The sequence below is a fragment of the Homo sapiens genome, chromosome X (assembly GCF_000001405.40).
Source record: "Homo sapiens chromosome X, GRCh38.p14 Primary Assembly".
In the NCBI taxonomy this organism is placed as follows: domain Eukaryota; kingdom Metazoa; phylum Chordata; class Mammalia; order Primates; family Hominidae; genus Homo; species Homo sapiens.
Genome location: NC_000023.11, coordinates 101,053,121 through 101,069,668, shown reverse-complemented (window position 1 = coordinate 101,069,668; position 16,548 = coordinate 101,053,121). Strand labels below are relative to the sequence as shown.

The following is a 16,548-nucleotide window of genomic DNA, read 5'->3' as shown; positions in this document are numbered from 1 at the left end:
AACTCCATCTCTACTAAAAATACACACACACAAACACAAATTAACTGGGCGTGGTGGTGGGCGTCTGTAATCCCAACTACTTGGGAGGCTGAGGCAGAAGAATCGCTCGAACCCGGGAGGCAGAGGTTGCAGTGAGCCGAGATCATGCCACCATACTCCAGCCTGGGCGACAGAGTGAGGCTCTGTCTCAAAAAAAAAAAAAAAAAATTATGGAGGGTTTATCATGTATCAAGTGCCATTCTAAGTGTTTTGCCTACATAATCTCATTCATTCAATACAGCAACCCCCCAAAGTAGGAACCATTATTATTAGGTTTTGATTTATTATGTAATTTGCTCAAAGTCACATGCCTATATATTCCTGAGCTGGGATTTTTATATTTTTTTAATAAAAATAGAGACAGGGTCTCACCATGTTGCCCAGGCTGGTCTTGAACTCCTGGGCTCAGAGGATCCTCCCACCTGGGCCTCCCAAAGTGCTGGGATTACAGGTGTGAGCCACCTCACCCACACATAAACTGAAATTTTAAACCCAGGTTCGTCCGAAACCAAAAGCCCATTTTATTAACTACCACATTTTTACTAACTTCCTTTTTCTCATTTATCATAATGCTGGCTATTGGTTTGAGATGGATATGCTTTATCTTTACTTGGCTCTAGAGGCAAAATAGAATACTGGATTTTTTTTTTTTTTTATCGCTTCTTGGCCTTTTGGTTAAGATCAAGTGTAGAATACTGGATTTTTTATTTTTATTTTTTTCCAGATGGAGTCTTGCTCTGTTGCCCAGGCTGGAATGCAGTGGCACGAGCTCGTCCCACTGCAACCTCCACCTCCGGGGTTCAACCAATTCTCTTGCCTCAGCCTCCCAAGTAGCTGGGATTACAGGCACCCACCACCATGCCTGGCTAATTTTTGTATTTTTAGTAGAGATGGGGTTTCACAATGTTGGCTAGGCTGGTCTTGAACTCCTGACCTCAGGTGATCCACCCACCTCGGCCTCCCAAAGTGCTGGGATTACAGGCATGAGCCACTGTGCCCCGCCAGAATACTGGATTTTTTTACTTTATCTTGGAACTGAGCTGAGATCCAATACTTGATTCCCACAAAGGGGCGGCCTTCTTTATTGTCTGTTAAGGCCTAAGAAATTCTGCTGTTTTCTCTCTCATTCCTTACATCCTAATGCGTAGATTCTTGTAGTTTTTTGCTTAAACTATAAAGGTCTCTGGGTGGTGAGTGCACCAGGGTTCACCAATTCACATGCCTACTAGGGGTGAGGAATAAATGCATAAACCTGGTGAGACATTGGGCAATAGATATTGAGTTTTTTGGCTTGTGACTCCTGAATACTCTGGAAATTCTGGGTTGACCACTAATTAGGCCACCAGTTATAGTGCAGACCATCATGTACTCTTCAGTGGTTCTCAGAATGGGTCTGAGAACCCCAAGCGGTCTATTATTTCCTCAAGGTAATTAATGGGCTGGTCTCTAAGAATATTAGTGTTACTTTGTTTCTGCTTTGCTTTTACTTGGTGTCTTATCCAAAGAAGCATCATTTTCCCTTTTTTTTTTTTTTTTTTTTGAGACGGAGTTTCGCTCTTGTTGCCCAGGCTTGAGTGCAATGGCGCAATCTCGGCTCACCACAACCTCCGCCTCCGAGGTTCAAGCGATTCTCCTTCCTCAGCCTTCCCGAGTAGCTGGGATTACAGGCATGCACCACCATGCCCGGCTCATTTTGTATTTTCAGTAGAGATGGGGTTTCTCCATGTTGGTCAGGCTGGTCTCAAACTCCTGACCTCAGGTGATCCGCCCGTCTCTGCCTCCCAAAGTGCTGGGATTACAGGCATGAGCCACCGTGACCGGCTTTCCCCATTTGTTATGAAATAGGTTTCCTATGACATGTACCAGGTAGGTGGTCTGCATAGCCTTTTACCTTCTCACAGGTGGTCCCCATTGAAAGACCATGAAATCCATAGCAGAATAACATAACCACACCTCCCATAGGGTCACAACTTCATGACTTGCTCTGCAGGATGAAAGGGAGATGCCTTAATTTTTTTTTTTTCCTTTTTGAGGTGGAGTCTCTCTCTGTTGCCCAGGCTGGAGTGCAGTGGCATGATCTCGGCTCACTGCAACCTCTGCCTCCTGGGTTCAAGCGATTCTCCTGCTTCAGCTTCCCAAGTAGCTGGGATTACAGGCAAACGCCATCATGCCTGGTTAGTTTTTGTATTTTTAGTAGAGATAGGGTTTCACCATGTTGGCCAGGCTGGTTTTGAACTCCTGATCTCAGGTGATCAACCTGCCTTGGCCTCCTAAAGTGTTGGGATTACAGGCATGAGCCACCACACCTGGCCGGGATGCCTTAATTTTATCACTAGCTATCATCTAGGGAGTAATCACTCTGTGCTAGGCATTGTACAATTACAGTCCATTACATACACCAGTACATTCAATCCTTCATGACAGCCCATGAAACAAAGCCCAGTGGGTTCTATTAGTATGCCAATTTTTATAGATGGGAAAATTGGGGCTCAGAGCAGTTCGGCCATTTGCCCAAGGTCATCTTCTCATAAGTAGCAGAGCTAGAAATGAAATCTGCACAACAGCAGAGCCTAATTTTTTTTATTATACTTTAAGTTCTAGGGTACATGTGCACAATGTGCAGGTTTGTTACATAGGTATACATGTGCCATGTTGGTTTGCTGCACCCATTAACTCGTCATTTACATTAGGTATTTCTCCTAATGCTATCCCTCCCCCTGCCCTCCACCCCATGACAGACCCCAGGGTGTGATGTTCCCCACCCTGTGTCCATGTGATCTCATTGTTCAATTCCCACCTATGAGTCAGAACATGTGGTGTTTGGTTTTCTGTCCTTGTGATCGTTTGCTGAGAATGATGGTTTCCAGCTGCATCCATGTCCCTGCAAAGGACATGAACTCATCCTTTTTTATGGAACAGAGCCTATTTTCTTGAATAGGCTCTTAACCTTCTCTGGCATTAGTATCACCTGGAAATTTGTTTTTTAATGCATATATCTGAGGCCTGCCCACAAAGATTTGTGTTTAATTGGTCTAAAGTAGGGTCCCTGGGACAGGTATTTTGAAAAAGCTTCCCTGCCGGGTGCGGTGGCTCACACCTGTAATCCCTGTACTTTGGGAGGCTGAGGCGGGCAGATCACCTGAGGTCAGGAGTTCGAGACCAACCTGGCCAACATGATGAAACCCCATGTCTACTAAAAATACAAAAACTAGCCAGGCGTGGTGGCAGGTGCCTGTACTCCCAGCTACTCGGGAGGCCTGAGGCAGGAGAATCACTTGAACCCGGAAGGCAGAGGTTGCAGTGAGCTGAGATTGTGCCACTGCACTCCACCCTGGGCAACAAGAATGAAACTCCTCCGTCTCAAAAAAAAAAAAAAAAAAAAAAAAAGCTTCCCAATGACCTGATGTGCAGTCACCCTAATGAACACTGATCTTTGCTTCATTGCCTAAAAACTCAGTGACCTCAGCTGTACCTCAGGGAAATACAAGGCATAAGGTGGAAAAATTGAAATAAAAAGAGAAACAAGGTTATGGTAGTGTATTATATTCAATGTGTGCCTCTCTCTCTGTCTACTGTAGGCAATATATGTTCTTTATAAGGTAGGTGTGAATAGCAGCTCTGACTTGAGCTTGCACAGTAATGGCTCTTTCCTCAGCTTCACAAGATAGTGCTAATCGAGACCCTCCACAGGATCAGGCTGAATGTGTCAGATATATCAAAAACCTCAGCTGACAGGTAGCTATACTTGGCAAATACTGCTCTTCGATTTTAACTCTTTGAGTTTCTTCCAAAAGAGAACTAAGATAACATTGTACTTGCATCAGCTTTTGGTAGCAGTCAAGACTAAGAAACTGAGCCGAACTCGGGATATGCCCAGCTCTTTGCAGAAATACTGTGTTCTGTGAGCACAGCCTCTGTACTGTGTACTCCTCCAGAGTAGAATCTCTTGCCTATTGTCTGGTCTTCCTGGAGAGATAGGGACAGACCTGAGCATCCCCAAGGATCTCTGAACATTGAGCCCTAAGAAAAGCACAAGCTCCCTATTGCACACAAGTTCCTTCTCAGCTTCATTACAGTGATAGGCTCTTCTGCCCGTTAAGGGAGGCACTGGAGTACAAAGCAGAGTTCCTCTGAGTGTACTCTCCAGTCCAGCAACATCAGCATCACTTGGGAATTTTTTAGAAATGCATATTCTCAGGTCTACTGAATCAGGAAACTCTGGAGATGGGACCCAGCAATCTGTGTTTTAACAAGCCCTCCAGAGAATTCTGATGCACACTAATGCTTGAGAATCACTGGTTAAAAGTTGAAAGATAAAAAGTGGAGACATGGGGCCAGGCACGGTGGCTCACGCCTGTAATCCCAGCACTTTGGGAAGCCGAGGAGGGCGGATCACAAGGTCAAGTGTTCGAGACCAGCCTGGCCAACATGATGAAACCCCATCTCTACTAAGAATACAAAAATTAGCCAGGCGTGGTGGTGTGTGCCTGTAATCCCAGCTACTCGGGAGGCTGAGGCAGGAGAACGACTTGAACCCGGGAGGCGGAGGTTGCAGTGAGCCGAGATTGTGCCACTGCACTCCATCCTGGGCAACAGAGCAAGACTCTGTCTCGAAAAAAAAAAAAAAAAAGAAGTGGAGATATGGGCATCAGATAGCTGAATTCAAGTTTTGGTTCCACCACTTACTGTGTGGCCTTGAATAAGTTAGTTACCCCTCTCTAAGTCTCAGCTACCTCCTCTGTAAAATACAGGTACCACTTTTCTCACGTGTAAAATAAGGACCCACATGAGATAATGCACGTTGTGCACTTAGCACAGTGTGAGGCACAGAGTAAGGATTCAATACATGTTGAATATTTGTTATTATTACATGTGTAGTTCTCGATAATCATTTTCATTTCCAACTAATTGTTTTTCTTTGGCAAAATAAAAATTATAAGTTCAGAAACTGGGCAGATGTGGTGGCTCACGCCTGTAATCTAGCACTTTAGGAGGTCGAGCGGGGTGGGTCACTTGAGGTCAGGGGTTTGAGACCAGCTGGGCCAATATGGCAAAACCCTGGCTCTTCTAAAAATACAAAAATTAGCCGGGCATGGTAGCACATGCCTGTAATCTCAGCTACTTGGGAGGCTGAGGCAGGAGAATCGCTTGAACTCAGGAGTCGGAGGTTGCAGTGAGCTGAGATCACACCACTGCACTCCAGCCTGGGCAACACAATGAGACTCTGTCTCAAAAAAAAAAAAGTTCAGAAACCAAATAACACATATTGATAATGCAATGGGGATGGGGCAGAAAGTATTTCATCTACCAGTTTCTTCCTTTCTTTCTTTTTTGAGATGGAGTTTCGCTCTTGTTGCCCAGCCTGGGCGTGATCTTGGCTCACCGCAACCTCCATCTCCCGGGTTCAAGCAATTCTCCTGCCTCAGCCTCCTGAATAGCTGGGATTACAGGCATGCGCTACCACACCCGGGTAATTTTGTATTTTTAGTAGAGACGGGGTTTCTCCACGTTGGTCAAGCTGGTCTCGAACTCCTGATCTCAGGTGATCTGCCCACCTCGGCCTCCCAAAGTGTTGGGATTACAAGCGTGAGCCATTCAGCCTGGCCTCATCTACCAGTTTCTTTACAGAATCATGGAACATAAAAGTGAGGATAATAGCCAAGATATAGAGTCAACCTAAATGCCCGTCAACGATAGACTGGATCAAGACAATGTGGTACATATACCCCATGAAATTCTGTACAGCCATAAAAAAGAACGAGATCATGTCCTAAGTGAATTAACGCAGGAAACCAAATACCACGTGTTCTTACTTACAAGTGGGAGCTAAACATTGAGTACACATGGACACAAAGAGGGGAACAATAAACACCAGGGTCTGGTGGTGGAGGGTGGAGGGTGGGAGGAGGATTGAAAAACTTCCTATTGGGGCTGGGCGCGGTGGCTCATGCCTGTAATCCCAGCACTCTGGGAGGCTGAGGCAGGCAGATCCCTTGAGGTCAGGAGTTCAAGACCAGCCTGGCCAACATGGTGAAACCCCATCTCCACCAAAAATAGAAAAAATAGCCAGGCGTGGTAGCATGTGCCTGTAGTCCCAGCTACTCAGGAGGCTGAGGCAGGAGAATCTCTTGAACCTGGGAGGTGGAGATTGTAGTGAGCCGAGATTGTGCCACTGCACTCCAGCTTGGGCGACAGAGGGAGATCCTGTTTAAAAAAAAAAAAGCAAAAAGAAAGAAAGAAAAAAGAAAGACTACCTATCAGGTACTATGCTTACTACCTGGGTGATGAAATAATCTGTACACCAAACCCCTGAGACATGCAATTTATCTATATAACAAACCTGCACATGTACCCCTGAACCTAAAATAAATGTTAAAAAAAAAATTTAAAAAGGCCAGGTGCAGTGGTTCACGCCTGTAATCCCAACACTTTGGGAGGCTGAGCTGGGAGGATCACTTGAGCCCTGGAGTTCGAGACCAGTCTGGGCAACATGGCGAATTTGGTGTCTCTACCAAAAAATTTTTAAAAATTAGCTGGGGCCGGGCACAGTGGCTCATGCCTGTAATCCCAGCACTTTGTGGGGCCGAGATGGGCAGATCACCTGAGGTCAGGAGTTCAAGACCAGCCTGGCCAACATGGTGAAACCCTGTCTCTACTGAAAATACAAAAATTAGCCAGGCATGGTAGTGCACGCCTATAAACCCAGCTATTTGGGAGGCTGAGCCAGGGAGAATTGCTTGATCCTTGGAGGCAGAGGTTGCAGTGAGCCAAGATCGTGCCACTGCATTCCAGCCTAGGTAACAGAGCGAGAGTCCATCTCAAAAAAAAAAAAAAATTAACTGGGTGTGGTGGTGCGTACCTGTGGTCCCAGCTGCTTGGGAGGCTGAGGTGAGAGGACCACTTGAGCCCATGAGGTCAAGGCGGCAATTAACTGTGAGCACACCACTGCACTCCAGCCTGGGTGACAGAAGGAGATCCTGTTTCAGAAAAAAGAAAGTAAGTAGACTTCTCCACTCCCACTGCTTCGCTTGACTAGTCTAAGGAAGGAGAAAAAAAGGAAGAAAAGTAGAAAGTAGTGTCTTTATTAAGAGTTTACTGATGATGATTTGGAGAGGATGGAAATTATAGCCTCTGGGGAGTTGTAGAATTTGTGCCCTTGGTGTTGAGTCTCAGGCATGAAGCCCAGGTTCATGTACTGATGACATTCCAGTGTGGAGCAGGACCCAGGATAGAAGTTCCTATGCTATTTGTCTACATCTAGCTTTGAGGAATGAGCCACCAGTACTGGAATGCTATTAACATTCAATTGCAAATTTCAACACTATAAAAAGCAAAGGGTTGGGACTGTAAAAAGTGAGAAAATGAACATCAGCACCAGCCATGTAAATGTAAGGTAGTAAATATCTGTGTTACCCTAGAAACCAGAAGTATAAAGGTAGCTAGGTAGTTTGGTGACAGTTTCCAAGGTAATTCCTGCCACAGACAACATAAGAGCTTTCCTGTTATGTTAACTTTTTCTCTACATGCCTACTGGACCTTCACTCAATTCCACTATTTCCTCCCTCTCCCAAAAGACTCCCTCTCTGATTTCCCTATTTTTGTTAGTTTCAGTGCCATTCTCCTAAGTACTATCATCAGAAACCCTAGATGTTTATCAGTGAACTGAAGGGCCCCCAAAGTAATATGTGTCTCCAAACTTAAGAGACACAGTTTAGAGGAAAATCAGACACATAATTTGGGAAATGATAAACTCTTCAATTGAAAAAATTAAGAAAAAAAAAAGGCTCACAATGGATGAAACTAGCCAGCTGTGACTCTTCCCAGAAGCGACTTCTGGTAAATATAATTTGTAGATATATGCAAATAAGATTAAGATGCTTCCCAATATCTCACCTGGGAGCTACCAACCTAGAATGTAATTCATGTAAGACAGCTGTTACCTTGGAAACCGTGACATGTAATGAGAACAGGAGGCAGGTAATATTGTAATGACAGAAGATTCTGATAACTAGTTACAGATGGTGAAAAAAAAGAACATTGGAGAGTCAGTGTTTATGCACTACTATTCAAATGACAGGACACAAATAACCCAGTCTGGTATACAAATAACCCAGTCAAAGACCTCCCTTAAAACCATTCAGCCGGCCAGGCACCGTGGCTCACGCCTGTAATCCCAGCACTTTGGGAGGCTGAGATGGGCGGATCACATGAGGTCAGGAGTTTGAGACCAGCCTGGCCAACATGGCGAAACCCCATCTCTACTAAAAATACAAAAATTAGCCAGGCGTGGTGGCACATGCCTGTAATCCCAGCTACTTGGGAGGCTGAGGCAGGAGACTCGCTTGAACCCGGGAGGTGGAGGTTGCAGTGAGACTAGATTGCACCATTGCACTACAGCCTAGGCAACAAGAGCGAAACCTAAAAAACAAACAAACAAACAAACAAAAAAACCCATTCAGCTCCATTTGTTCAAGTTACAAATGACCATCTGATTACTAGTTTGGTTTCAAGGGTATGTTAATAGCTGGTAGGTATGACCCTAAATAATAGATAAGACAATTCCTGTCACTAGAAACTATATTTATCACTGGCATTTATTTGACTTGTAAGCCAATATCTTATTATTATTATTATTATTATTATTATTATTATTATTATTTTGAGATGGAGTTTCACTCTTGTTGCCCAGGCTGGAGTGCAACAGCGCTATCTCAGCTCACCGAAACCTCTGCCTCCTGGATTCAAGAGATTCTCCTCTCTCAGCCTCCCGAGTAGCTGGGATTACAGGCATGCGCCACCACGCCCGGCTAATTTTGTATTTTTAGTAGAGACGGGGTTTCACCATGTTGGTCAGCCTGGTCTTGAACTCCCAACCTCAGGTGATCCACCCGCCTTGGCCTCCCAAAGTGCTAGGATTACAGGCGTGAGGCACTGTGCCTGGGCCTTTTATTATTATTATTTTTTATTGAGACGGAGTCACTCTGTCACCCAGGCTGGAGTGCAGTGGTGTGATCTCAGCTCATCGCAACCTCCACCTCCGGGGTTCAAGCAATTCTCCCACCTCAGCTTCCCGAGTAGCTAGGATTACAGGTGTGTGCTGTCGCCCCCGGCTAATTTTTTTTTTTTAATTTTTAGTAGAGAAGAGGTTTCGCCATATTGGCCAGGCTCGTGTGGAACTACTGACCTTGAGTGATCTGCCCACCTCAGCCTCCCAAAGTGTTGAGATTACAGGAGTGAGCCACTGCACCTGGCCCATATCTCTATTTTCATAGAATAGATTCCTAGAGGGAGAATTTCTGGGGCAAATGCTATGAAATTTTTTAAGACTTGTGATTCTATTTGCTTTCTAGGAAGCATCAATTTACAATCCCACAGGCAGTGTATGAAGGTTTCTGCCTCACTGCTCATGGTCTACTTTGAGAAATATGTGTTCCTTTTTTTTTGTGTGTGTGTGACAGAGTCTCGCTGTCTGTCACCCAGGGAGTGCACTAGCACAGCACTGTCACGGCTCACTGTAGCCTTGACCTCCTGGGCCCAAGCAATCCTCCCACCTCAGCCTCCTGCTAGCTGGGACCACATGCATGCGCCACCACGCCTGGCTAATTTTTTAATTTTTTGTAGAGTCGTGGTCTCTTGATATTGCCCGAGCTGGTCTCAAACTCCTGGGCTCAAGTGATCCTCTTGCCTCGGCCTCCCAAAGTGCTGGGATTATAGGCGTGAGCCACGGTGCCTGGCACAGTTCTTTTTAAATCTTAATTAACTTCACAGGTAAAAGAGTATTATCTAGTTTGTATACTTTGCATGTTCTGTGATTACTAGTGAGTTAGAACAAAACACCTTACTGAGCAATCAGATTTCTTTTCCTGGAAATTCTCTCTCCATGCCTTTGTCAAAGTCTTTATTGAGGACATCGTGTTCTTCTTGTAAGTTTATGTAAGCTTTTTATCAAGAAAGATAATGACTCTTTGCTATACTTGTATATATTTTTCTGCTTGTTTTTTATGATTTCATTTTGTTAATTATATTTTTGTCATGTCAAGTTCTTAAGGTTAAGTAGTAAAATCTACCTACTTAGTGTTTTTTTTCTGCTGCTTTTAAGTTTATGATGTCTTCTCCCATCCAAATTTTAGATGCATAATCATCTACATCTTATTCTAGGGCTTTTATGGTTTGATTTGATTGTTGCCCAGGCTGGAGTGCAGTGGTGCCATCTCGGCTCACTGCAACCTCTGCCTCCTACGTTTAAGCGATTCTCGTGCCTCAACCTCCTGAATAGCTGGGATTACAGGCACCTGCAACCATGCCCGTCTAATTTTTTTTTTCTTTTTTTATTAGAGACAGGGTTTCACCATGTTGGCCAGGCTGGTCTTGAACTCCTGACCTCAGGTGATCTGCCTGCCTCGGCCTCCCAAGGTGCTGGGATTACAGGCGTGAGCCACTGCACCTGGCCTATGGTTTGATTTTTTTGATCTCCAACTAATTCATCTGAGATTTCAGTTGGTGTGTGGTAGTCGGAGCTCAGATTTTAATGGGCATCACCTGGTATGCTTGTTACAACCCTAGATATTCCTGAACCCTATAACTGCCCTATGGGTTCTTCCTGCCCACTGCACAAACAAAACAGACCACGACATTGCAGTAGAGAAAGAGTTTAATTGACACAAGGCCAGCCAAACCATCTCCTCAAAGTATCAAAGTATCAAAGGTTAGGGGTTTTTCAAAGGTAGTTTGGGGGAAGGTGTGGGGGTGGCTAGGCAATGGGTGCTGATTGCTTGGTTTGAAAATGAAATCATAGGGATTGGAAGCTCTCCTCTTGCACTGAGTCACTTCTGGGTGGGACCACAGGAGTGGTTGGTGGGTACAGGTGGAGCCATGGGTGTCAGACATCCAAAAGACCTGGAGACATCTCAAAAGGCCAATCTGAGGTTCTACAATAGTCATGTTATCTGCAGGAGTAATTGGAATAGTTGCATATTTTGTGACCTCTGGAATAATGGCTGGAAATCATTTAACTATGCCTACATCTTAGTATAATGCAGGCCCCTCTCATCCTCCTAACCTGGTTGGTGGCCTTTCATTAGTTTTACAAGGGTGGTTTAGTTTTTGGGAAAGGCTGTTATCATTTAAACTATAAACTAATTTTCTCTCAAAGTTAGCGTGGCCCATGCCCATGAATGGCCAAGGACAGCTTGAAAGTTGAAGGCAAGATGGAGTCAACCATGTCAGATTTCTCTTAATGTCATCATTTTGCAAAGGCAGTTTCAGTGACCTGGAAGCTGAGGGAGACTGTTGCATACATTCAGATGGGAGGTCATAAGTTTCTGTGCTAAGGCAAGCTATACTGCATACTGCAAAATTTTCTCAAAATATGGTCAGGGACATCTGCAACATAATCAGCTTGGATGATTGTAACACATATGGATTCTGAGTCCCACCCCACACTTACTGAATTGTCCCACCCCACACCTACTGTGGTCCCGACCCAGGAGCAGACTCAGTCCAAGAGGGCCATTTTCCATACCCCTATGATTGCATCCCCAACCAAAGGGGAAGAGGAGGTGATGAAAGGTGTAGAGCTGTGTATGCATATAACTATAACTGCCTACCAAACTATCTTTGAAAAATTCTAGCCTCCAAATTTTCAGGGAGATTGATGTGAGTAATAACTCCATCTCCTACATGTTGTGGCCGAGCTCTCATCAATTAAACTCTTTTTTTTTTTTTTTTTGAGATGGAGTTTTTCTCTGTCACCCAGGCTGGAGTGCAGTGGCGTGATCTTGGCTCACTGCAACCTCCGCCTCCTGGATTCAAGTGATTCTCTTGCCTCAGCCTCCCAAGCAGCTGGGATTACAGGCACCCACCACTATACCCAGCTAATTTTTGTATTTTTAGTAGAGATGGGGTTTCCCCATGTTAGCCAGTCTGGTCTTGAACTCCTGACCTCAGGTGATCCGCCCACCTCAGCCTCCCAAAGTGCTGGGATTACAGGCATGAGCTGCCGTGCCTGGCCTAAACTCTTTCTTTACTGCAATGCTGTGGTCTCAGTGAATTGATTTTGTCTGTGCAGTGAGCAGGAAGAACCGGTCAGGTGATTGCATCACTACATCCTAAAATCCATCTATATACAGCTCCTAGAGTTATCTTGCAGAAACATCTTATGAAAAAAAAAAAACCCAAAAACTCTTCATTAGCTTCCTATTGTTACAGGAACTAGCTCAAACTCCTCATCCCAGCCCTCCAGACCCTTTGTTATTTTCCCTGACCTGTCTATCTGATCAGCCAATGGCCAATGGCTTAAGCACCAAACTCTTATCTAGCCAGGTCTGCCTCCTCATGGGCCTTGTACAATTATTACTCATTTCCTCTTTTCATGCTGCAGTCCCAGTTCCTCTCAGATTATTCATATCCTATGCATTCAACTCAATTATCACATTCTTTTCCTTCCTTTGGTACCAAGATGGTGGCTGTTTTCTGAGACTTACCAAAGCCCCAATAGTTGTGTATTCTCACACTGAGTATTATCTTCCTATCAGGTCATACAATCTTTGAGGGTGTGGTCTGTGAATCTATCCCTCATAGCATATAGCACAGTCCTAGGTGCACCAAAGAACTTGTTTAATGGAACCAAACCAGCCCTAAATGCCAACTAATTTTTGTAAGAGTTAAAGAAAGAGGAAAGAAACATGAAAAGTGGCTCAACAGACAAAGACAGGTTTATTTTGGATAATCAACCGGAGAGGGTCTTCTGGCCGATTTTGGTCAGGAGTGCTCTCTCTTACAGACTAAGAGTATTTATTGGTTTTAGGGTGAGGGAGCTTATTACAGGCTTGGAATGTTACTGTGGTGGGGAGAAGTTTATTGCAGGGTTGGAATGTCTCTGGTTGGAGGGGAGGTTACTTGGGGCTGGCATGTCTCTGGTTGGGGAGGGGTTTATCTTATGGTTGGAATGTTTCTGGTTGGAGATGTCATTTACGGTTTATGGTCATGTTGACCTTAGCCATTAGGCTGATGCCCTTTGGATTTAGGTGTTTTTTTGTTTGTTTGTTTGTTTTTGTTTTTGTTTTGAGAGGGACTTTCGTTATTGTTGCCCAGGCAGGAGTGCAATGACGCGATCTCAGCCTACTGCAACCTCTGCCTCCTGCGTTCAAGCAATTCTTGGCCAGGTGCGGTGGATCATGCCTGTGATCCTAGCACTTTGGGAGGCCGAGGTGAGTGGATCGCCTGAGGTCAGAAGTTCAAGACCAGCCTGGCCAGCATGGCAAAACCCTGTCTCTACTAAAAATACAAAAAATTAGCCAGGTGTGGTGGCAGGTCCCTGTAATCCCAGCTACTTGGGAGGATGAAGCAGGAGAATTGCTTGAACCCAGGAGGCGGAGGTTGCAGTGAGCTGAATTCACACCATTGCACTCCAGCCTGGGCAACAAGAGTGAAACTCCATCTCAAAAAAAAAAAAAAAAAAAAAAAAAAAGGAAAAGAAAAGAAAAAAAGAAGAAAAAAAAGCAATTCTCCTGTTTCAGCTCCTGAATAGCGGGGATTACAGGCATGCACCACCACGCCCAGCTACTTTTTGTATTTTTAGTAGAGACGGGGTTTCACCATGTTGGCCAGGCTGGTCTTGAACTCCTGACCTCAGGTGATACTGCCCGCCTCAGCCTCCCAAAGTGCTGGGATTACAGGCATGAGCCTCCTTACCCGGCCTTAGGTGGTTTTTGATCAAGGAGAACTTTAGAATTGTGGTGCTTGTCCAAGATGGCGATGCTCCTGCTTGGTAAATTTTAATATGTTATTTCTGAGAGCGAATGCTGTAGCCTCTCAGCTATCTTTTCCTTGCACCAAAATGAGAATGTTTGACAAATTCCTAGGGATTTCACTTTGTTGTGATTTGGTTTGCTAATAACAAAATTAAGTAAAAGGTTATCTTGGTTCCAGCTCTTATTTGAGTTAACAATATTCCTTATCATCTATGACATATCCACTTACTGACTTTCTGGTTGAAGGGTCTAACCTTTCCTATAATACGGGGTATTTCTTTCCCCTCTTACAAATGTAATGATTTCGCTTTTATAGTAGAATATGCTTTACCAGATTAAATAAATATAAAGGGGTTAATGGCTAAATAATTACATTATAGCTGCTTTAATCTCTTTTCTCTCTCTACCCCTCAGGGTTTTCCTCCTTGAATGACAGGCCTGCTTTAAATGAATTTGCCTGGATGCTCAAAATAGGTGGGGGTGAGGGAGGAAATGCCTTCTCTCTTTCAGCAGACAAGATGGAATTCAGTTTAATTAATCAAATATTAATATTTATTGAGCTCGTATGGGACACCTGATTCTGTGCTAGGCACAACACAGAAGGCCAAAACGAGAAGTGATAAAGGAGCAGAAGGGCTTGGGAAGGGGAAGAAAGGGGAAGAGGAGGTGATAAAAGGTGTAGAGCTGTCTAGCCATATAAGAGGGGATTAAAAGATGAGAAAGGGAAAATAGAGCCAAAGGTAAATTCTCTGGCCTGGTCTCACTTGATAGCCCTGCATGGGCCTAGAAGGCTGAAGCAGTGGTTTGAGTTCAAATTTTGCTTATGAGCCATGAGAGCAGTTAGGATAGTGGCAATTTGAGTCAAACATTTACCTCCTCAAGGGTTTAGGATGGAAGTGAAATCTCTCTTTAAAAAACAAGAAACATACACGTGTGTGTTTGTGTGTGTGTGTGTGTGTGTGTGTGTGTGTGTGTGTGTTGTGGGGGCCAAAGTCATTGGCCCCTGAAGGTTCACTAAAATATCACTGATATGAGGCTGATTCATAGGAGAAAAGGCATACAAATTTATTTAACATGTACACATGGGAGCCTTCATCATGGAGACCCAACCTCCCAATAATTAACAGAAGCTTATATATCATCTTGAAATTACAGAAAGAGACCAGGCGTGGCTCATGCCTGTAATCCCAGCACTTTGGGAGGCCGAGGCGGGCAGATCACGAGGTCAAGAGATCGAGACCATCCTGGCCAACATGTTGAAACCCCGTCTCTACTAAAAATACAAAAATTAGCTGGGCGTGGTGGTGCAAGCCTGTAGTCCAGCTACTAGGGAGGCTGAGGCAGGAGAATCGCTCGAACCCGGGAGGCAGAGGTTGCAGTGAGCCGAGATCGCGCCACTGCACTCCAGCCTGGGTGACAGAGCGAGACTCCATCTCAAAAAAAAAAAAAGCCGGGCGTGGTGGCTCACGGCTGTAATCCCAGGACTTTTGGAAGCCGAGGCGGGTGGATCACGAGGTTGGGAGATCAAGACCATCCTGGCTAACACGGTGAAACGCCGTCACTACTAAAAATACAAAAAATTAGCCAGGCGTGGTGGCGGGCGCCTGTAGTCCCAGCTACTTGGGAGGCTGAGGCAGGAGAATGGCATGAACCCGGGAGGCGGAGCTTGCAACAGTGAGCCGAGATCGCGCCACTGCACTCCAGCCTGGGTGACAGAGCGAGACTCCACCTCAAAAAAAAAAAGTAAGAAATTACAGAAAGAATGTGGACGAACTCAGAGTATATACAAAAACAGGTTTTAGTGGCAAGATAGGTTATGGAAGAAAGGAAGAGACTTGGTTTGTGAAGGTGGCCTTGTCATGTAGAGGAAGCCTCCTTCCGAAAGAATAGCTGGTAAATGCTTCTTTTCAAACTTTTAAAGATGTCAGACTCTCAATCTCTCCTGGATCCAGGTAAGGCATAGAAATGGGAAGCTTGGCTGTATTCAAGGAGGTTCTCTACAGATGCAAATTTCCCCCATCTCAGTCCTCTGGTCCTGAGGCAGCCATTTCAAACATATGGCAAATACATTTATTTTGGGGTAAAATATTTTTATTTTCTTCAGAATGTATGAACACACAGTATATCAACTTATTTTGAATGATAATAGCTAACTTTGTGTACTTACTGTATTCTAAGCACTTTGTGTGTATTAACTCATTTAATCGTTGTCACAACCGTATGAGGTAGGTAAAATTATTGTGGACATTTTTTTTCAGATGATGAAACTGAAGCACTGAGTAATTAAATAACTTGCTCAGTGGACACAGCTTATCAGTGGCAGATCTGCTGGGGGTGGTGGCTTATGCCTGTAATCCCAGCACTTTGGGAGGCCGAGGCAGGCGGATCACCTGAGGTCAGGAGATCGAGACCAGCCTGACCGACGTGGTGAAACTCCATCTCTACTAAAAATACAAAAATTAGCTGGGCGTGATGGTGCACTCCTGTAATCCCAGCTACTCGGGAGGCTGAGGCAGGAGAATCGCTTGAACCTGGGAGGCGGAGGTTGCGGTGAGCCGAGATCACACCATTGCACTCTAGCCTGGGCAACAAGAGCAAAACTCTGTCTCAAAAAACAGAAAAATAGAAAATAAGTGGCAGATCTGGGCTTTGAATCCTATTCTGACTGACTCAATGTTTGCTGCTATTTGAAGTATTGGGCCTTGTTTAATTTACTACTGTACTCACTAAGGCTAACACATTGCCTTGCACATAATAG

The 16,548-nt window shown here is 44.7% G+C and overlaps 1 pseudogene; it reads left to right on the top strand.

The window, feature by feature from the left end:
* The first annotated feature begins 694 nt into the window (after positions 1 to 694).
* Positions 695 to 828, top strand: LOC124905285 (uncharacterized; annotated as a pseudogene).